Here is a 22,153-nt window from a genome sequence, read left to right on the forward strand (position 1 = left end):
CCCTGGCCACACATTCCATTCCTCTAAGGTGTCCAATCTATACACCCCTGCCACCACCCCTATCCCATCTCAGCAGGAGACAATATGTGAAAAGAAAGTTCTTCATTTTTCCTTCTTTTCCATTTCTTTCTTCCTGTCTTTCTTTCTTTTTTTTTTTTTTGTAACAGAGTCTCGCTCTGTCGCCCAGGCTGGAGTGCAGTGGCGCGATCTCGGCTCACTGCAGGCTCCACCCTGGGTTCACGCCATTCTCCTGCCTTAGCCTCCCGAGTAGCTGGGACTACAGGCACCCGCCACCTCGCCCGGCTAATTTTTTGTAGTTTTTAGCAGAGACGGGGTTTCACTGTGTTGGCCAGGATGGTCTCAATCTCCTGACCTCATAATCAACCCGCCTCGGCCTCTCAAAGGGCTGGGATTACAGGCATGAGCCACCGCGCACAGCCCTTTTTTTTTTTTTTTTTTTTTGAGACAGAGTCTCGTTCTGTTGCCCAGGCTGGAGTGCAGTGGTGCAATCTCGGCTCACTGCAACCTCCACCTCCTGGGTTCAAGCAATTCTCCTGCCTCAGCCTCCTGAGTAGCTGGGATTATAGGCAAGCACTACCATACCCAGCTAATTTTTGTATTTTTAGTAGAGACGGGGTTTCACCATGTTCGTCGGGCTGGTCTCGAACTCCTGACCTCGTGATCCGCCCACCTCGGCCTCCCAAAGTGCTGGGATTACAGGCATGAGCCACCAAGCCAAGCCCACTCGTTTTTCATTCTTGATATTGACAGACTGCCCAGAGACAGACAGGAGTGGGTAGTGAGGGTCAGAAGGATTAAGGAGCTTGCCTAGCCGATGAGGAAGGGAACAAGATAAGATGCAAACCTCAGTCTCTGACTCTCAGCCAAGTGCTCACTACCCCAACTAGCTGTCAAATGAGGTGGATGGGGCCTTGGTTAGGTACATAGACACCTGAGTCATATCAACCTGGTGTGAATCCCAGCTCTGATGTTGAGCGATTGGCCTAGCCTCTCTCTGCCTCCATTTTCTCTTTTTTCATTTCATTTTTCTTTTTTGAGGCAGAGTCTCACTCTGTCACTGCCTCTGTTTTCCATAGCAAAATGGAGTTAATAATGCTTACATGAGGGATTAAAACGAAGACAATGCCTACCTAATGCTTAGAATGGTGCCTGGAACATAGGAACAATGTTGAAACAGTCTTTCATTCTTCCCTCCTATCACTGTGATCATCAGTACCACCACACACTGCTTCTCATTTAGTGCCTGAATTTTAGAGCCTGCCTGGAGGCTGGAGCCCTGCCTGGACATTTCCCTTAATCTTGTTATCCTCCTCAGAGAGGCGGCACCCACCCCATTGGCAGACGCCACGGGAATTCTCTGGGCCTGCTTGTCATCACTCCAGATGTTGTTTAGAGTTCTTCTGTTAGCACAGCTGTTTCTAGGGTCTGGAAAAACTCTAAGGACCCCCAGGAGGATACACACCAGATTGGGTCTGGGCTCACACCACCCTGCATCCCCAGAGCCTCCCTGGACGCTGTTTGCAAGGTCCTCACCGCCTGGAAGTCCAGGAGCCATTTTTAGGGAACAGCATTCAAGCTCAACATGGCAAGTTCCCTCTTTCCTGCAGGGGAGGACCAGAAGGGAGCCGGAGATGGGGGAGAAGGGTGGGAGGTGGATGGTTTGGAAAAGGGATGGAGACCCAGACGGAGAGAAGCCAGCCAGCCAGGGTGAGGGAACAAGCTGCTGTGCTGCCCAGGAGAGGCCTGGCCTCAGGCTGCCAGCCTCAGGGAGGTAGATGCGGCTGTGACAGCAGCAAAGAATGACGGCCAAGGGCGACAGCAGGGGCTGGCCATGCTGTAAAGGGGCTTCTTGGGAGGGTCCAGCCTCAGGAATCAAGGGGAACTCCTGAGCCGAGAATTCTGAAGATCTCCTCCCTCCCTGAAGCTGTGGGCTGGGCCATCGGAAAACTTTCAGTTTTGTTTCCTTGCCTGCAAGAAACGAAACTCAACCGAAAGCCTGCAGAGAGCAGAACATGGAAGGAGACTTCTCGGTGTGCAGGAACTGGTAAGAAAGTGCTTTCTCCAGCGGCAGACCCGGGCTGGCGAGGGAGAGACGTAGACGACATAGGGCTGTTTCTGAAGGGAGCAGAAAGTGGTTCCTGCATAAGAACACTTAGGAGGACAAGCAGCTGGAGACCGTGGGCCCCAAGGGTAGGAGGGTTTAAACTTGGTAATCTCTGGGTGGGGGTGGGCAGCATTACCTCCACTTCACTGCAGCCCCTTTCCCCCAAATGTTAGGCTTTCTGGGACAGTTCTGAAGCCAAATAGCCCGGCCAGTGGTCCCAACTGGGCTACTCATACTTGTGAGACCTTGGGTCCTAATTTGGGGTTCTGATACTATGACCTTCACACCCATCTGTGAAAGAAAGTGTCCCACGGAGATTCTCCAGGACTACTCTCACCCTCCTTGGAAAGGGAGCCGTGGGGCGGGGCAGGGGGGACAGAGCAGGGGGCTGGGACCACACCTCTAACGGGAGGGGGGGCGCGGAATCTGACCGATCAAAAAGCCCCATTCTCAAAGCTCCCTACCTGTGACAGGGACCTGAGTGGACCCTCCCCAGAGAGCTTTGCTCCAGCCAGACCCTTCAAGTACTCTGGTTTCTCAACCAGCCCAGGAAGAGCAGGGGGAGAAGGGGCCAGGTCAGGCAGAGGAGAGAGAGCAGAGGAAGGGAAGATGATGCTGCCTGTGTGCCCGCTGCCTGGGCAGAAGAGGAGTGAGGCTTTGACAGTCCCTCTCGGAGCACGTCCCCTGTGCCAGGAACATGGGCATGTAACTCTTCTCGTCCCCTGGGCCTTTACGGCTACAGCCACCCCATTTCCCTTCTCCCAAGCTGCCACAAGCAAGAGCTGATGGAAATGAAAGGAGTCATTTCTTTCTTTCTTCTTCTTTTTTTTTTTTTTTTAAGATGGAGTTTCGCTTCTTTTTGCCCAGGCTGGAGTGCCTGGAGTGCAATGGCGCGATTTCAGCTCACTGCAACCTTCATCTCTCGGGTTCAAGTGATTCTCCTGCCTCAGCCTCCCGAGTAGTTGGGATTACAGGCGTGCACCGCCATGCCCGGCTAATTTTGTATTGTTTTAGTAGAGATGAGGTTTCACCATGTTGGCCAGGCTGATCTCTAACTCCTGACCTCAGGTGATCCACCCGCCTCGGCCTCCCAAAGTGCTGGGATTACAGGCATGAGCCACCACACCCAGCCAAAAGGGGGCACTTCTTGGCAAAAAGGACGGTTAGAGAAAAATGCCCTGCCCAGGAAGTGGGAGGCTCAGAACCCTTCCTTCACTGTGGTCTCCAGGAAGAACCTCGGAGTCTCTGTGAGTTAGCGCAGGTGAACCTGAAGGCAGGGGAGACTTGGGAAGCTCTCGCTTTGGAGATTTTGGAAGTTGGCATGGCCCTGGCAGGAAGCGTGAGCCTAGCAGGGCTGCGTTCCTAACACTGTGGACCAAACAGGGGCACCAGAAAACAAGAAAAAAGATTCAAGAGAATTTGGCACTTCTCTCAAATTATTTAAATTGAAATAATTTAATTATTTACATTATTTAAAATGAAATGTTTCATTTTAAAAACAGCCTTATAGAGGTATAATTGACCTACAATAAACCTCACATTTTAAAGGGTAGCAATTGATAAGTTTTGGCCTAAGTTATATACATCCATGAAACACCATCCCCGTAATTGAGATAATGAAGCTTCCTGTCACCCCAAAAGCTCCCCATGCCCCTTTGTAATTCCTCCCTCCTGCTCCTTCCCATGCCCTGCCCCAGCAATGTAAGAGCTCTGTAGATCATCCTTATTCTTATTAGATGCTGCCTCACTGTTCTGACTTTTGGACCCACACAGGGAGTGTGGGGCAGGTGGTGTCATCATCATCACATGTTCAGTGCTTAAGGCCTCTGGAGATCTAGCCCTGGGTATGAAATACAGCTCCATGTTTTATAATATGAAAATAAGTCTATTTTTCTATCCCCACACCTTGACCCTGTAGTAAAAGACATGTAGTCTCTGCCAACTTCACCCTCCATGAGGCTTACTGCCTGCGGTTCCTGGTCCTGTGTCCGGAGTGTGAGGAGCCTGTCCCCAAGGAAACCATGGAGGAGCACTGCAAGCTTGAGCACCAGCAGGTGAGGAGGCGGCAGGGAGGATGGGGTCTGAGAGTCAAGGTGAGTGTTCAGTCCTCCCTGCAGGTGAGATGGGGTCTGAGAGTTGGGGGACGAGGGTCTAGTCCTCCCTGCAGGTGAGATGGGGTCTGGGAGTCAAGGCAAGTGTTCAGTCCTCTCTGCAGGAGAGATGGGGTCTGAGAGTCAAGGCGAGTGTTCAGTCCTCTCTGCAGGTGAGATGGGGTCTGAGAGTCAAGGCAAGTGTTCAGTCCTCTCTGCAGGTGAGATGGGGTCTGGGAGTCAAGGCGAGTGTTCAGTCCTCTCTGCAGGACAGATGGGGTCTGAGAGTCAAGGCGAGTGTTCAGTCCTCTCTGCAGGTGAGATGGGGTCTGGGAGTCAAGGCGAGTGTTCAGTCCTCCCTGCAGGTGAGATGGGGTCTGGGAGGGGCAAGTGTTCCATCTTCCCTGCAGGAGAGATGGGGTCTGGGAGTCACAGAGTGGGTCCAGTCCTCCCTGCAGGAGAGATGGGGTCTGAGAGTTGGGGGACGAGGGTCTAGTCCTCCCTGCAGGTGAGATGGGGTCTGGGAGTCAAGGAGAGTGTTCAGTCCTCCCTGCAGGTGAGATGGGGTCTGGGAGGGGCAAGTGTTCCATCTTCCCTGCAGGAGAGATGGGATCTGGGAGTCACAGAGTGGGTCCAGTCCTCCCTGCAGGAGAGATGGGGTCTGAGAGTTGGGGGACGAGGGTCCAGTCCTCCCTGCAGGTGAGATGGGGTCTGGGAGGGGCAAGTGTTCCATCCTCCCTGCAAGAAAGAAGGGGTCTGGGAGTCAGGGAATGGCTCCAGTCCTCCCTGCAGGAGAGATGGGGTCCGGGAGTTGGGGTGAGGGCTGGGGACTTAAGGCAAGGGTCCAGTCCCCCAGGCAGAGACTCACTTGAGGGCCATGGGAAGTCATTTAGCCCCTCCACACAAAGCCCATGGAAAGGAAATGTTAATCCTGCCTTTTTCATGCTAATCTGAGTCTACCTCCAGTTTTCCTATTTCCAATCCTTTCCCTACAGGCTTATGGATCTGGCATAGGCAAGAGGTTCTGGTTTCAGGAAAGACTGGCTGTTCTCTTGAGATCTGTAAAGAGAGGATGTGAAAAAGGAAGGTCCTGGAAGGCAGTCAGATGGAGCCCTGTTTCCCGCCTTTCCATGTCCATTCCTCCTGGGGCCCCTGATCTGTCTCTCTGGAGATACTCAAGCTCAGGCAGCCGTTGCCAACTCAGACTGGTCTGACAAACACTTCTTGAACACTGGGCGGGGTGCTAGAGAGACACTGAGGTAGCCACATCGGATCCCTGCCCTCTGGGAGTTCACAGACCCAAACCCGGAACACTGTGAGCCAAAGTGGATGTGGGGCAGGCCCTGGGTGCTGGGTGGACCCACATCTGGTGTGTGTGTGTGTGTGTGTGTGTGTGTTTAGGTTGGGTGTACGATGTGTCAGCAGAGCATGCAGAAGTCCTCGCTGGAGTTTCATAAGGTAAGAGCCCCATGTGATTTCTCCTTTACAGCCAAATAGACCAACCTGAGAAAAGGAGAGGAAGGGGAAACGGGAGGCCAGTAATAGAGATTTCCACCTGACCACTCTTTTCACCCCATTAGGCTTGGAGAGCAGTGGAGAACTAGCCCACCGCATAACACAGGTTCTCCTGTCCCCCAGATACTGATCAGAAGGGTTTTCCATGGTCCATGAGTCCATCAGAGCTCAGATCCCCCGAAGGCAGTCCCGCACTCTGGCCCTTCTCATCTGCTTTCTCGTATTGGCCCTAATTCCCTAGGGAGATGGGCACAAGTCCTTGATCTGCCTACAGTCAAAGAGGCCAGTGATCGGCCAGGCGCAGTGGCACACGCCTGTAATCCCAGCACTTTGGGAGGCCAAGGCGGGTGGATCACGAGGTCAGGAGTTCGAGACCAGCCTGACCAACATGGTGAAACCCCGTCTCTACTAAAAGTACAAAAATTAGCTGGGCGTGGTGGCACACGCCTGTGGTCCCAGCCACTTGGGAGGCTGAGGCAGGAGAATTGCTTGAACCCGGGAGGCGGAGGTTGCAGTGAGCCAAGATCAAGCCACTGCACTCCAGCCTGGGCAACACAATGAGACTCTGTCTCAAAAAAAAAAAAAAAAAAAAAGGGCCAGTGATCATGCCCTTCCTGCTGCCTCCCACAGGCCAATGAGTGCCAGGAGCGCCCTGTTGAGTGTAAGTTCTGCAAACTGGACATGCAGCTCAGCAAGCTGGAGCTCCACGAGTCCTACTGTGGCAGCCGGACAGAGCTCTGCCAAGGCTGTGGCCAGTTCATCATGCACCGCATGCTCGCCCAGCACAGAGATGTCTGTCGCAGTGAACAGGCCCAGCTCGGGAAAGGTAAGCACACAAACTGGGGTGGAAGAGAGACGTTCCAAGGGCCAGAGCCTTTCCTGGATGGGATGCAAGGAAGGGAAGCTCTCAACAGGACGGATGACAAGTGTATTTGCTGTATAGATCTCAATTCATCTGGCTATTCTAATTCTAAACCATGCCTCAGAGTGGCCTTCCTGTGTGTCTGCTGTGGCCTTCAAATGACTGGTCCAGGGAGACTAGGAGGCCGGGGCTAGAGCCTAGCTACCACAAAGTTGAGTAAAGAGGCCATGGAGAAGGCTGGGCGGGGTGGCTAATGCCTGTAATCCCAGCACTTTGGGAGGCTGAGGCGGGCAGATCACCTGAGGTTGGGAGTTCGAGACCACCTTGACCAACATGGAGAAACCCCGTCTCTACTAAAAATACAAAATTAGCCGGGCGTGGTGGCGGACGCCTGTAGTCCCAGCTACTTGGGAGACTGAGGCAGGAGAATCACTTGAACCCGGTAGGCGGAGGTTGCAGTGAGTCGAGATCGTGCCATTGCACTCCAGCCTGGGCAACAAGAGCAAAACTCTGTCTCAAAAAAAAAAGGGGGGGACCATGGGGAGTCCTAGGAAACAGGAGGCTTTCTTTGAGCACCTCTAGCACAGTCCTAGCCTGGCAGAGATCCATTGCATCCTTTTACAGATGAGAAACCTACACACAGAATAAAGCAGGGACTTGCTAGAGGCAAAAATAAGACTGGACTCCCGCACTTCCTGGCACTGAATCTAGGGCTTTTTCCATTATCAACAATGGCCAGAAGGGAGTTAGCAATGGCTCCTGGCCTGGGGGCCTATGTATTGGCTCCCTGGTACCATTTTATGTTCACTTGAATCACTCACCTCTTTATGAGGGTGTATTTACTGTCACACAACCATCAGTGTGACAGATCCTTTGGTGTCTTTGCTAGTTGTTTTGGTAACATGGTAACATGGGAGAGAGCCTAAAACTCCCCAGACAGTAACCTTCTCCTGATAAACAATCCACCCAAGGGCAAAACTGGCCAATGGAAACCTGGAAATTGTGAGAGTCATGTATATTTCCTTCATCCCAGCATGGCTGGACGTCAACAGAATCAAACACAGTCTTCAACACAACTTCAGTGCAACACAACACAACACAACACAACACAGCTTCAACACTGTCAACAAAAATGTGTTCAACCAACACCTGGTCTGATCACAGAGTCTGAAAACTGGTGCAATGAAAGAGCACAGTCAGAATGGAGGGGGTTGGCATCCGTGGCTACAGCTCCATTCATCTCCTTAGAAACCAGTCCTGATCCAGGAAAATGTCTCTCCATTACGGTTGCTGCTGCCCTGAGTGCACATCTGTGGCCATAAAGGAAATGATGTGGGTGATTCGGCCAAGAGTTGCCTGTGTGGTCAAGGATGCCGGCAGCGCAGGAAAGTCAAGACCAGGCAGGTCCGGGGGGCAGTTCGTGCTCATGAGCACAGGCCATGTATGCAGTTGTGGGAGAGCTGGGCTAGCCGTTGACAAGGACAATCATTTGTGGTGTTGTTTCTCTGCTTATTCAGGGGAAAGAATTTCAGCTCCTGAAAGGGAAATCTACTGTCATTATTGCAACCAAATGATTCCAGAAAATAAGTATTTCCACCATATGGTGAGTAGCACTTAGTAATTTTCTAATGGTGCCAATAGTTCATCCACATTCTGAAAAGTGTGATAGGAAAGGCAGATTCTGGGCCCAATTTTACATAGCATGGATATTAAAGGGTCCCATATTTATTTTTTGCTTTGTTCCAAAAGATAGTTTAGTGACTTGCTTAGGCTAATCAAGCACACAAAAATTGGTCTTCATTTGTGCCCAGCCCTTCAAAGGGGCTTCCCTTGCCACTCCCAACACCCCCGATCACCTCTGACCATCTCCAAACTTCATGGCCTGGACATTGCAATTTGGTCCTCAGTAGGGCCTGTCTTACTGTTTTCGGTCCCATGTGGGAGTCTTCTCTATTAGACTGTGAGCTTCCTGCAAAACTGCATGACTTTTTCCATTTTCCTGACATCAGAGCTTGGTGCAAAAAGAGGACTCTGTAGAGGCGCAGTTACGTGATTGACTGACTGACTGATTTTGCCTGGGAACACTCACAGGTTCTTCCCTCCATAGCCCCTAAGCGCCGTTTAGTGCATTGCTGTGCCAAGTTGCTCCCTTCTTTTGCACAGAATGGAGCATTTCCCCTTTGGGAAACTTACCAAGGCTTCTCTCCAAAGAACTCTTCTCCTTCTCCTTGGGCAGAAAGTTGTTTACCTTTCTTAACACTTCAGTGCTTAAAACTACAGAATATCAAAACTAAAGAAACCATAGAGACGATCCAGCTTTTCGCTCTTTTCTTTTTCTTTTTACTATTGTGGTAAACCACGTATAATGTAAAATTTGCCATCACTATAGAGACATTTGGTACATTCACAATGTTGTGCAATCTGGTTCTAGAATATTTTCATCATTCCAAAAAGAAATCCTATACCCATTAGCAGGTACTGTACATTCCCTCATCTTCCCAGTTCCTGGCAACCACTAATCTGCTTTCTATCTCTATGGATTTGTCTATTCTGGACACTTCACATCAGTAGACTCATATAATATGTGGTCTTATGTAACCATCTTCTTTCACTTACCGTAACATTTTCAAGGTTTGCCCGTGTTGTAGTTGTGGCATGTGTCAGCATTTCATTCCTTTTAATGGCCTTTTCTTTTCTTTTATTTTTTTGAGACAGGGTCTCACTCTGTTGCCCAGGCTGGAGTGCAGTGGCGTGATCTCGGCTCACTGCAACCTCTGCCTCCCGGGTTCAAGCGATTCTCCTGCCTCAGCCTCCGGAGTAGCTGGGGCTACAGGTGCCTGCCACCACGCCCGGCTAATTTTTGTATTTTTTTTTAGTAGAGACGGGGTTTTACCATGTTGGCCAGGCCAGTCTCAAACTCCTGACCGCAGGTTATCCGCCTTCCTCGGCCTCCCAAAGTTAATGGCCTTTTTACGGTCATCCCACATTTTGTTTCTCTACTTGTTGGTAAACATTCGGATTGTTTCCACCTTTCAGCTCTTTGCTTTTTGAAGTGCAGTCTGTGGACCAGCTGCATGAGCATCACCTGGAATCCTGTTAGAAATGCAGAATCTCAGGCCCTCCCCCTAGAAATGCTAAATCAGAATATGCAGGGTCACATGATTTCCCAGGCATTTCAAGTCTGAGATGCGCTGCCCCAGCCACGGGATTCTCAGCCTTGGCTGTACGTGGAAATCACCTACTGACTTGTTTTCCTTAGTACTGATGTTTATTCGATCCTATAAGTGGTCCATGTGTTCTGTTTGAATGAGAAAATACTTGGTGAGCACCAAAACAAGAGTAAAGCTGACTACTTCCCTTCAAATGTCCAGCCTGGCAACCAGGGCACCTACACACTTATTTGAAGGCTACAGGGAAGTGGGGAGCTCCAATACACATGGAACTGGATTTGTGCTCAGAAACTCTGAATTTTAGTTCTGCTGTGCCCCTTACTGGCTGTGTAACCTCTCTGAGCTTCTTTCTTCTTTTGAGGAAAATGGGGATAATGGTTTATCTCCTTGTTCAGGAAAAGAAGACATCCACAACCAGCCAACACCAGATCTATCTCCTTGGCAGCATCCACACTCACTTACTTTGCCTTCCCACCTCTTAACCATAGAGGAGCTTCCTATGTGCCTCTCTAAAGCCTATCCCCTCCTACTGGTATAATATACCCTCTCTTTTTGCCTACACAAGGTCACACAAGTTTTTTGCTACACTGCTCCAGCAATTCTCCCCTCTCTGTCCTGCAACAGAGAGAGGTTAAATGAGCTGTACACGCAGGTAACAACAAAGTCTCACATCTCTAGGTTGTCCTAACATTTCTTACAATAACTTTTTAAAGGGGTACCACTATTGAATATTTATATATCAATGGCCTTGCACGAAAAGAATTTTTTTTTAATTTTGAAAATTAAGGATTGAAATCATGTATACTAGGTGGTTTTGTGGTTTTCAGTCTTTAACTTTTTATTAATATGACCCAAAGCCAGAAAAACATGAAATACTTCTGATCCCATTTCCTATAAGCTACCATCTTGTTTCTTTGTTCCCCTCCGTAGAAAAACATTTGAGCTAGTTGTCTATAAGTAACTGCCTCCATCTTTTCTTCTCTCATTCTTATTCCCACTCCAGTCTGGCTCTCCATTTTAACCAAATCTGCTCTTGTCAAAATCAATGACCTCTGCATTGCTAAATCCAATGCTCAGTTCTCAGTTCTCAATTTATGGGAAGCATTTACTGCTCATCACTCCCTCTTCCTCAGTGGACTTTCTCGGCTTCCAGGGTACCACACTTTCCTGGTTTTCAAGGACATTGGTGGTCTCTCATTCTCTACCTCCCCAGCCTCTTAATTTTGGGGGGCCCCAGGGCTTAGTCTCTGGTCTCTTCTCTACCTATATTCACTGCCTTCATTATTTCATCCTACCTCCTGATTTTTAAAAATGCCATATGTAAGGCCGGGTATGGTGGCTCATGCCTGTAATCCCAGCACTTTGGGAGGCCGAGGTGGGAGGATCACAAGGTCAGGAGATCGAGACCAACCTGGCTAACACAGTGAACTCTCGTCTCTACTAAAAATACAAAAACTTAGCCGGGTGTGGTGGTGGGTGACTATAGTCCCAGCTACTCGGGAGGCTGAGGCAGGAGAATGGCGTGAACCCAGGAGGCGGAGCTTGCAGTGAGCCGAGATCACGCCACTACACTGCAGCCTGGGCGACAGAGCGAGACTCCATCTCAAAAAATAGATAAATAAATAAAAATTTAAAAATTTTTTAAAAAGCCATATGTAGTCAGACACTTCCAAATTTATATCTCAGTCTGGGTTTTTCTCCCCAAACTCTAGATTTGTATATTACTATTTACTGCATCTTCACTTGAATGCTTGATAGACATCTTAAATGTAACACATCTGAAATGGAATCCTCTCTGCCACAGCTTGGCCCATCTCAGTTGATGGCAACTCTATCTTTCCAGTTGTTCAGGCCAAAATCTCAGGTTCACTCTCGACTTCTCTTTCCCTCCGCATTGCTACCCTGGTATGAACCATCATCTTCTCTAGCCCAGATGCTGCAGCAGTCTCCTAAACGGTCTTCCTACTTCTCACCTTGCCCCCTACAGTCTATTCTCATCACAGAGGTCAACGTGATCCCTTAAAAATACAAGTCAGATTGTTTGGCTCCTCTGTTCAGATCTCTGTACTGATTCTTGCCCCATTTTATGCAAACTCAAAACTACAGTGGCTTTAGAGATCTATGTCATCTTTGCCTCCCTTCTTATCTCATCACCTCTTTGATCTCATGTACTACTCCTGTTCAGCTCACTGGCCTCCTGATTGTTTCTTGAGCATACCATGCCTTAGGGCCTTTTCACTGGCTACTGCCTCTGGCTGGAAGCTACCTCCTCACCTTCCCCACCCTACTCCAGGAGCTAACTCTCTCACTTCTCTCAAGTCTTTGCCCAGATGGCACCTTCTCAAGGAGATGTACCACAACAACCTATTTAAAATTGCAACTCCCTCTCCATCACATATTTACCAACCCCTTACCTTCTTCTATTATTTTTTCCATAGCATTTGCCAACTTCTAACATATTATCTAATTTACTTACTTATTATGGCCCTTGTTAATTGTCTCCCACGACCTCAGAAAAACTATAAGCCCCACTGGTCCCCTTCATGCTAACTACTCCCCAGACACAAATACTCTACTTTTGCTTTTAGCTGTTTCTTCTGGTAATCACCTTCATATGTCTAAAGCACCTTCTTATATTTTTTCCAGTTTTAGATATTACTTATTGACTCATAAGGATTTAGGAATATAGATTTCACTTTTTTATACCACCCATCCCACACACACACCTCCAAAGTTCTTCATTTCATCCTTCCAATGTATTGATTTCACTCATTCTGGTTAAATAAATATTCAGTATTACATTAGTATAACCATGTAAACATTATAAATGGTTTTCCACATGAATTGTGATTATGTGTTCTTTCTCCTACAACTTTTTGTTTTACCTGGACTTAATAATTGCTTCGGTTTTTCATTTGCTTCACTTTCTAGGTACCTATCACTAAATCATCCCTAAAATTCTCTACCAGATCTGAAAATTCCCCTGAGTACAACTACACACATCAGATAGTCTGTCCATTTCATTTTGGGAGCATGTTATGCCCCAGGCTTGATGATTAGCTGTTGGTCTGGAATTTCTTCCACTCTCTCCACGGTTGGAGTTCTGATTCCCAAATCTCAGGTCTCATCTTTCTCTTTCTTAGGTTACTCCTTGTTTGATAGAACATATCCCCAAATAGTTTCTTGAGAAAGAAAGCATGAGAGGCAAATTTTTTAGGCCTTATATGTCTGAAAATGAAAGCTTGGGTGGCTATAGAATCTATTGACCATCTTAATCTGTTTATTAAAAATCTTATTACAATTCTGATTTGGCCACTACACACTGTATACATGTATTAGAAAATCATTCTGTATTCTATAAGTATGTATCATTATTACTTGTCCACTAAAAATAAAAGAAATAAAATTGATTACAAAAACTTTCAAATAAATATGACAGTAGAAAGTTAATACAATAAACATTCATGTATTTACTCCCCAGATACAACAGTTGTTGTTCTAAACAAGGTGAATAAAAATAAATCTACTCTTAGATACATTACAGGTAAAAGGCAAAGGTTGATTTCTTTGAAATCAGCCGAAGAAGATTACAAGCAAAGGAATGGCAGTTAGGCTGAAAGCAAATATATCGACAGCAATAATAGAAGTGGGTATGCAGTGGAATAATCTTCAAAGTGCTAAGAGAAAATAGCTGTTAACACGTGGAAATCAAAAGTTTTCCAGGCTTGAACTATACTTTGTTTGTTTTCTTTTTTCTAAAGTATGTTAAAGCAAATCCAAGATATCCTGTTATTTCACCATCATTCTTTAATATCTCAAAAATACAGTCATTTTCTTAATCACAATGCCTTTATCACTCTCAATGATGTTAACAATAATTTTCCCCCATCGTTTTGGGGCCTTGCATTTACCACTCTTGTTCATTACTACTGCTGCTGCTGCTGCTGCTGCTGCTGCTTGCTTCTCCCTTGTATTCTATTGGATTGAGCAAGATTTCTTTATTCTCTTTCTTCTTTCCTACTGATTCGTCAATTTTACATTTATTTCTATCATTTCAATAGTTACCCTTAACATTTTAATATAAATACTTGACTTAATAAAGTCTAAAGTTAGTCATTATCTCTACTTTCCTTACAAATAGTATATAGATTTGAGAACATGTTAACACTGTAACTATCTTACATGAAAATGCTGCCAGAATTTTGTTTCATTTTGCTTTCATACTACCCCTCTTTACTGATTATTGTTGTTATTTATGTAACTCATGCCTGTTTAGATATACTCACATGTTTTTGTTTTTGCTTTTTTTCTTTCTTTCTTTCTTTTTTTTTTTGAGACAAAAGTCTCACTCTGTTGCCTGGGCTTGAGTGCAGTGGCACGATCTTGGCTCACTGCAGCCTTCGCCTCCTGGGTTCAAGCAGTTCTCCTGCCTCAGCCTCTCAAGTAGCTGGTACTACAGGTGTGTGCCACCACGTCTGGCTAATTTTTGTATTTTTAGTAGAGATGGGCTTTTCCATGTTGGCCAAGCTGGTCTTGAACTCCTGACCTCACATAATCTGCCCACCTCGGCCTCCCAAAGTGCTAGGATTACAGGCATGAGCTACTGTGCCCGGCTGGATATACTCACAAGTTTACCCTTCTCTTTACTCACATTCTTCCTTGGATCCTAAGCTTTCCTTCTGGGTATGATTTCTCTCTTCCTGAAATACATCTCAGTAGCTTCTTCACCAAGAACCTTGAGTAGTAAATCTTTAGTTGCCTGAAAATAAGCTTTTTGTTTTTTGCATCCATGAATGATAGTTTAGCTGGATATCAAAATCTAGATTAACAGCTATTTTCTCTTATCATTTTGAAGATTATTCCACTGCCATCCCACTTCTGTTATTGCTGTTGATGTATTTTCTTCCAGCCTAATTGCCATTCCTTTGTACGTAATCTTTATATTTGGTTGATTTCAAGATCCTCTTTGCCTTTTACCTGTAACGTGTTTAAGAGTAGTTTTATTTTTATTCATTCTGTTCAGAACAATGTACTCAAATGTGTTTGCTTTTCTCCTGCTCAGGATTTCTCTTTCCTTAATATAAAGATTTATGTCACTAATCAGGCCTGAAAATTCTCATCTATTATCTCTTTGAATTCCCAACATTCCCCAACTCTCCCACATTCTCTCAACTCTCCTTCTGGAACATAACACATGTATATTAAGCATTCTCATTCTAGCTTCATGACTCTCTTTTTTTTCATGACTCTCCTTTTTTTTCATTTCTCTCTTTTAATCGCCTTATGTCTCTTAACCTTTCATATTTTCTCTATTTCTATCTCTTATATTCTGGGTAATTTCCTGAAATTATCTCCAAGTTCATTCATTCTTTCTTGGCCAAATCTAATTTTCTGTTTTTAGCCCATCCATTTAGGTTCAATACCTGCATTTTTCATGTCTAGAAGTTCAATTTATCTTTCTTTCAAATTTGCCTATTTTTGTTCTCACTACAAAAAAAAGATAGGTATGTGAAGTGATTGATATGTTAATTAACTTGATTTAATCATCCCACAATGTATATATATATTAAAATATCACATTGTACCCCATAAATATATAAAGTTATTATTTGTTAATTACAAATTAGAAAATTTCAAATTTACCTGTTCTGTTTTTCATGAGATGTTATTCTTTTCCCAGATTTAATCATTTTTAATTAATTTATTTTACAGTCTCTATCCTATAGTTGCATTACCTGAACTTCTTGGAGGCTAATCTGACTACTTTTGTGTCTGTGACTCTTACTCAAGGTGGATTGCTTCCTTGTGTGTTTGTAATTTTGGATTGTGAGTTTCTATCTGGTGGGACTCTACCTATGAGGATCCTCTATGACCTATTTTGAGGCTGTTGTCCCTCCAGAGGAATTTTGTGATTGCTTCTGCCAGACATCTCAATGTTTATGTTAATTCTTCTGCTCAGGGATTCCCAGACCATGAGGCCAAAGTAAATCCTAATCCCACACACAGGAATGGCATGGACCTGTGATTTTGAGTTTTCAGGGGCATAAGTTTTCATCTCCACACTCAAATACCGACCCAAGAAAGAAAAGCTTCCTTGCCACTTTCCTTTTCTCATTAGCTGATACTTTTCCTCTTACCCACCATAATTTATCCTTTAAAGTTTCCAGCTTTATGCAGGATCAATAGAGTCTTACTTCCAAATCCCCACCTGTGTGGATGGGACTTTCCTGTCATCCAAGCCCCTAGTTACAAAGTTGACCCTACATCTCCCATAAGCAGTGTCAACTCCTGTGCTTAACCAGTCCATTTGTGCTGCTATAACAGGATGCCACAGACAGAGTAATAATAAAGAACACAAATTTATTTCGAACAGTTCTGAAGACTGGGAAGTTCAAGATCAAGGCACCACCATTTGGTGTCTGGTGAGGGCCTTCTTGCTGCCTCCTAGCATGGTAGAAAGCAAAAGAGTAGAAGGCTGTAGCCAAATACTTCATGAATCCTCTTTTATAAGGACCCTAATCTCATTAAAAAGGGAGGACCTTTCATGATCTAATCACCCCCGAAGGCCCCACCTCTTAATACCATCACATTGGCAGCACCTGAATTTTGGAGGAGACACATTCAAACCATAGCAACCAGTCAGACCTTCATTCCTGGAATGCAAAATTTTCTTTCTTTCCTGCAAAGCCAGCTATTAAATTGAATGTCTGTCACATTTTATACACCATATAAAAGTGTTTACAGTGGGAATTTCTTGTGTTATCTAGTCTACTGTATTTTCTGACCATTAAAGCTGAAGTCATTTTAAAATTTGATATATTATTCACAATTGCAGGGTAAATGTTGTCCAGACTCAGAGTTTAAGAAACACTTTCCTGTTGGAAATCCAGAAATTCTTCCTTCATCTCTTCCAAGTCAAGCTGCTGAAAATCAAACTTCCACGATGGAGAAAGATGTTCGTCCAAAGACAAGAAGTATAAACAGATTTCCTCTTCATTCTGAAAGTTCATCAAAGAAAGCACCAAGAAGCAAAAACAAAACCTTGGATCCACTTTTGATGTCAGAGCCCAAGCCCAGGACCAGCTCCCCTAGAGGAGATAAAGCAGCCTATGACATTCTGAGGAGATGTTCTCAGTGTGGCATCCTGCTTCCCCTGCCGATCCTAAATCAACATCAGGTACTCAGCCTCTGTTCTCTGCTTACCTTTCTGGGAACCATCCGCACAGTGTCTTAAAAAAATCCAAGACCTGAAAGATGTTCACAAATGTTGTGGCTGAAAAGGCCGTTTTCTCTGACTCCCACTTCTCTGGGTGCCCAAATGCACTATCTCGTAGCACTTACCACCTGGTTTATTTGCATCACCTCCGAGAGACTGAGTCACCTTTGACTCAAGCCAGGTCTTTGAAGGTAGAGCCAGGTCCCTCTTCTCTGTGTCTCCAGCTTCTAGGCCAGGGATTGATTTGGAGCAACTGCTTCAAAACTGTTGAGTAAATGAATGAATCAGAGGATACCCAGTCTATCTCTCTCATGGTGTAGATATGGCACTGAGGCCCAGAGATGAGATGTCTTGGTCAAGATCCTAAGCCAGTTGGTGGTGGCTTACCTCCAGCAGATCAAGGTTTGCTTCAAGAAGATCAGGGTTTGTAGGCATCTCCCTGAATATCATGATTTTTATGTCCTAGGTTATTTTCTAGTAATAATAATAACTGGCATTAGAGGTTGTTAACCATTGTGTGCCAGTTACAATACAGAGCTCTTTATAATCTTCATCATAAACAATAGGCATGCATTTTATCTCCATTTTACAGATAAGGTGAAGTAGCTTTCCAAGGAGTATACAATTAGAAGGTGGCAGGATCCAGCCTGAGTCCACATGTATATAGCTCCAAAGTTTATGCTCTTAAGCTCCAGATTAAATGCCTTACTTAAAAAATTTATTTTTTTTCAAAATACATAAGTACTAGATTTTGTTGGAGCTAGTTGATATAATATCATATAAAGAAGTATAAAAGCAAAGCTAACCCTAATTCCCCAACCCCATACCCTGAGATACCACTTTGGACAGTCTTATGGGCATCTTTTCAAAGCTCTACCTTTGCATATACAAGCCTAAACAAGCATATACTGGGTTTTACTTGTTTCTTTTTCCACACATATTATCTTACTATACTTTTTACTCTGCCACATGCCTTTTTCACTTAGTATATGATGCATGCTTCTTACAAAAGACTTAGTATGCCAAAACCTTTTTTTCTAACTTCCTTGTGCATCTATGTATGCACATAAGCATATAATTTTACAAAAATGGGTTCATTTCATATTTGCTGGGGGTGTTACTAGTGCCATTTTTCCTTGCCTCCCACAATTTGGTATATTTCCTTTCACAGTTTTCTCCATCCTTATATAACAGAGTCGCCAGATTTAGCAAATAAAAATACAGGACATTCAGTCAAATTTGAATTTCAGAGAAACAAAGAATTGTTTTTAGTGTAGGTATATTCCATGCAATGATTGTTTTGCTAAAATTAAAATTTAACCAGGACACCCTGTATTTTATTTAGCAATTTCTTATATAACCACCATACAAACATACACATTTGGAGTCCTGTTATATACATTTTTTCACTTTTTTTTTTTTGAACCAGTAAAGCTGCCATCTTTTTTTTTTTTTTTTTTTTTTTGAGACAGAGTCTCGCTCTGTCACCCAGGCTGGAATGCAGTGGTGGGATCTCGGCTCACTGCGATCTCTGCCTCCCGGGTTCAAGCGATTCTCCTGCCTCAGCCTCCTGAGTAGCTGGGAGTACAGGCACCCGCCACCACACCCAGCTAATTTTTGCATTTTAGTACAGATGGGGTTTCACCATGTTGTCCATGCTGGTCTTGAAATCCTGACCTCAGGTGATCCACCCGCTTCAGACTCCCAAAGTGCTGGAATTATAGGGCATGAGCCACCACGCCCAGCAACATTTCTTTACATCCTAATGTAAATTCAGCAATACCCAAGGAAATCCCTACAAACAAAACAGTGTGGCTTATTTTTATTAATGGCTGCCTAAGATTCCATGGTGTGAGTGTTCTCCCATCTGTCCCTCCACCCAGTGATAGCAACAGGCCCCTGTTAAACTTTGTCGCAAGCCTCCTATACTTCTGGCTCAGTGGGCTCCTGACCTTTTCTATGCCATTACACTCCAGTCTTTGGGCAGGGCTCATGCTCTGTAACAAGGGACAGCAATATCCAGAGATATTCTAGGAGCTAGCACTTCTTACTTTAACCATATCAAACTTTTTTTATATCCATTTCTTAGGAGAAATGCCGGTGGTTAGCTTCATCAAAAGGAAAACAAGTGAGAAATTTCAGCTAGATTTGGAAAAGGAAAGGTACTACAAATTCAAAAGATTTCACTTTTAACACTGGCATTCCTGCCTACTTGCTGTGGTGGTCTTGTGAAAGGTGATGGGTTTTATTCGTTGGGCTTTAAAAGAAAAGGTTTGGCAGAACTAAAAACAAAACTCACGTATCATCTCAATAGATACAGAAAAGGCTTTTGATAAAATTCAACTTGACTTCATGTTAAAAACCCTCAACAAACCAGGCGTCGAAGGAACATACCTCAAAATAATAAGAGCCATCTATGACAAAACCACAGCCAACATCATACTGAATGAGCAAAAGCTGGAGCATTACTCTTGAGAAGTAGAACAAGGCACTTCAGTCCTATTCAACATAGTACTGGAAGTCCTCGCCACAGCAATCAGGCAAGAGAAAGAAATAAAAGGCAACCAAAAAGAAAGGAAGTCGAAGTATCTCTGTTTGCAGACGATATGATTCTATATCTAGAAAACCCCATGATCTTGGCCCAAAAGCTCCTAGATCTGATAAACAACTTCAGCTAACTTTCAGGAGACAAAATCAATATACAAAATATGGTAGCATTTTTATACACCAACGACATCCAAGCTGAGAGCCAAATCAAGAATGCAATCCTATTCACAATTGCCACAAAAAGAATAAAATACCTAGGAATACAGCTAACCAGGGAGATGAAAGATCTCTACAACAAAAATTACAAAACACTGCTGAAAGAAATCAGAGATGACACAAATGGAAAAACATTCCATACTTATGGATAGGAAGAATCAATATTGTTAAAATGGCCATACTACCCAAAGCAATTTATAGATTCAATGCTATTCCTATCAAACTACCAATAACATTCTTCACAGAATCAGAAAAAAAAAGCATTAAAATTTATTTGAAACCAAAAAAGAGCCCAAAAAGCCAAAGCAATCCTAAGCAAAAAGAACAAAGCTGGAGGCATCGCATTACCCAACTTCAAACTATACTACAGGGCTACAGTAACCAAAACTGCATGATACTGGTACAAAAGCATGGTGCTGGTACAAAAGCAGACACATAGATCAATGGAACAGAATAGAGGGCCCAGAAATAAAGCTACACACCTACAACCATCTAATCTTTGACAAAGTTGACAAAAATACGCAATGGGGAAAGAATTCCCCATTCAGTAAGTGGTACTGGGATAACTAGCTAGCCATATGCAGAGGATTGAAACTGAACCACTTCCTTACACCATATGCAAAAATCAACTCAAGATGGATTAAAGACTTAAATGTAAAACCCCAAACTATAAAAACTCTGGAAGATAACCTAGGCAATACCATTCTGGACATAGGAACGGAAAAAGATTTCATGACAAAGATCCCAAAAATAATTGTAACGAAAGCAAAAATTGACAAATGGGACATGATTAAACAGAATTACCATTTGACTCAGCAATCCCATTATTGGTTATATACCCAAAGGAATCTAAATCATTCTGTCATAAAGACATATATACACAAATGTTCACGGCAGCACTATACACAATCGCAAAGTCAGGGAATCAAACTAAATGTCCATCAGTGGTAGAAAGGATAAAGAAAATGTGGTGGCAGGGAGTGGTGGCTCATGTCTGTAATCCCAGCACTTTGGGAGGCTGAGGCGGGTGGTTCACCTGAGGTCAGGAGTTTGAGACCAGCCTGGCCAACATGGAGAAACTCCGTCTCCGCTAAAAATACGAAAATTAGCCAGGCGTGGTGGCGAGCACCTGTCATCCCAGCTACTTGGGAGGCCTAGGCGTGAGAATCGCTTGAACCTGGAAGGTGGTGGTTGCAGTGAGCCGAGATCCTGCCACTGCACTCCAGCCTGGGCAACCAAGCGAGACTCTGCCTTAAAAAAAAAAAAAAGAAAATGTGGCACATATACACCATGGAATACTATGCAGCCATAAAAAAGAATGGGATCATGTCCTGTGCAGCAACGTGGATGGAGCTGGAAGCCATTATCCTAAATGAACTCACTCAGAAACAGAAAACCAAATACCACATGTTCTCACTTATAAGTAGAAGCTAAACATTGAGTACACATGGATACAAAGAAGGGAACCGCAGACACTGGGGCCTACCTGAGGTCGGAGCATGGAAGGAGGGTGAGGATCAAAAAACTACCTATCTGGTACTATGCTTTTTATCTGGATGATGAAATAATCTGTACAACAAACCCTGGTGACATGCAATTTACCTATATAGCAAGCCTACACATGTGCCCCTGAACCTAAAAAAAAAGTTAAAAGAAAAACGTTTGGATTATTTTCCCTCTTTCGAACAAAGACATTGGTTTGCCCAAGGACTACAAATAAACCAACGGGAAAAAAGAAAGGTTCCAGTTTTGTCTGAAAATTCTGATTAAGCCTCTGGGCCCTACAGCCTGGAGAACCTGGAGAATCCTACACCCACAGAACCCGGCTTTGTCCCCAAAGAATAAAAACACCTCTCTAAAAGCTGCTCTTCCACCTTTCTTTGGGTTCCGCACTGGTTTTCCAGGGCCAGGAATGGCAGCAGCCAGGACCCCAGGATAAGGGCAGTGCCCAAGGAAAGGGGAGCAGAAGACATTCAGGGAGGGGGAAAGAAATGAGGCTGGGACAGTGGATAAGGGCCAGGTGAAGGGGAGAGGGGCGGCTTCTGAAGGCTTTGGGCAGGGAGAGTGGCTGGGGGAAGCCTAGTAATGCAACCTATCCAGCGGCGGCTTCGGAAAAAACCCGGGGCTGGGTCAGGATGGGAAAGGCAGCGAACTGAACCGTTTTGAGCCCCAAGTTCGGGGCCGAATGTCTTCCCTGTGCGCAGAAGCAAGGGCGGGGGCGTGCCATCCTCACCCGGAGCGCCGGCCGAGCCTCCCGCCTCCCAACGCCTGGCCAGGGCCCCGTCTCGCCCTCTGCACATGGGATCCACTGACCAGGCAACTGCAGGTTTGGGGCTCTGCGACCCGGGGGCAGGAACAGAGCCTTGCAGGCGGCAGCGCGTCACAAAGGCGGCCGGAGCTTGGCATTTAGCT

The 22,153-nt window shown here is 45.0% G+C and overlaps 1 protein-coding gene and 1 long non-coding RNA gene across 20 annotated transcripts, besides 1 other annotated feature; one reads left to right on the forward strand and one right to left on the reverse strand.

The window, feature by feature from the left end:
• Positions 1 to 1,401: 1,401 nt before the first annotated feature.
• On the forward strand, positions 1,402 to 21,602 carry XAF1 (XIAP associated factor 1). 19 transcript variants are annotated; one of them, NM_001353135.1, is made up of 8 exons: positions 1,402 to 1,606; positions 1,997 to 2,065; positions 4,044 to 4,179; positions 5,617 to 5,673; positions 6,361 to 6,556; positions 8,110 to 8,195; positions 16,598 to 16,939; positions 19,068 to 21,602. In NM_001353135.1, the coding sequence occupies exons 2-8, from the start codon at positions 2,034 to 2,036 to the stop codon at positions 19,122 to 19,124; spliced, it is 906 nt and encodes a 301-aa protein (NP_001340064.1). In that variant the 5' UTR covers positions 1,402 to 1,606; positions 1,997 to 2,033; the 3' UTR covers positions 19,125 to 21,602. The 19 variants fall into 19 exon arrangements, 14 of the variants coding, with proteins under 14 accessions (NP_001340064.1, NP_001340063.1, NP_001340067.1 ...); NM_001353134.2 differs by lacking the exon at positions 1,402 to 1,606 and adding an exon at positions 7,841 to 7,996 and having other exon boundaries at positions 2,001 to 2,065; NM_001353138.2 differs by lacking the exon at positions 1,402 to 1,606 and adding an exon at positions 7,841 to 7,992 and having other exon boundaries at positions 2,001 to 2,065.
• Positions 1,658 to 2,177: an enhancer, noted in NCBI's record as "active region_11591". NCBI's record gives its function as "activates an Ori minimal core promoter by ATAC-STARR-seq in GM12878 lymphoblastoid cells {active_cell/tissue: GM12878}" and the evidence as "EXISTENCE:reporter gene assay evidence [ECO:0000049][PMID:35858748]".
• LOC124903905 (uncharacterized) lies at positions 16,966 to 22,065 on the reverse strand. The gene is made up of 3 exons (XR_007065594.1): positions 21,975 to 22,065; positions 17,104 to 17,242; positions 16,966 to 17,009 (listed from the first exon to the last, which is right to left on the reverse strand). It is a non-coding gene; the product is annotated as an uncharacterized LOC124903905 (long non-coding RNA).
• Between the last annotated feature and the right edge of the window lie 88 nt (positions 22,066 to 22,153).

This window comes from Homo sapiens, chromosome 17 (assembly GCF_000001405.40).
Source record: "Homo sapiens chromosome 17, GRCh38.p14 Primary Assembly".
NCBI lineage: Eukaryota > Metazoa > Chordata > Mammalia > Primates > Hominidae > Homo > Homo sapiens.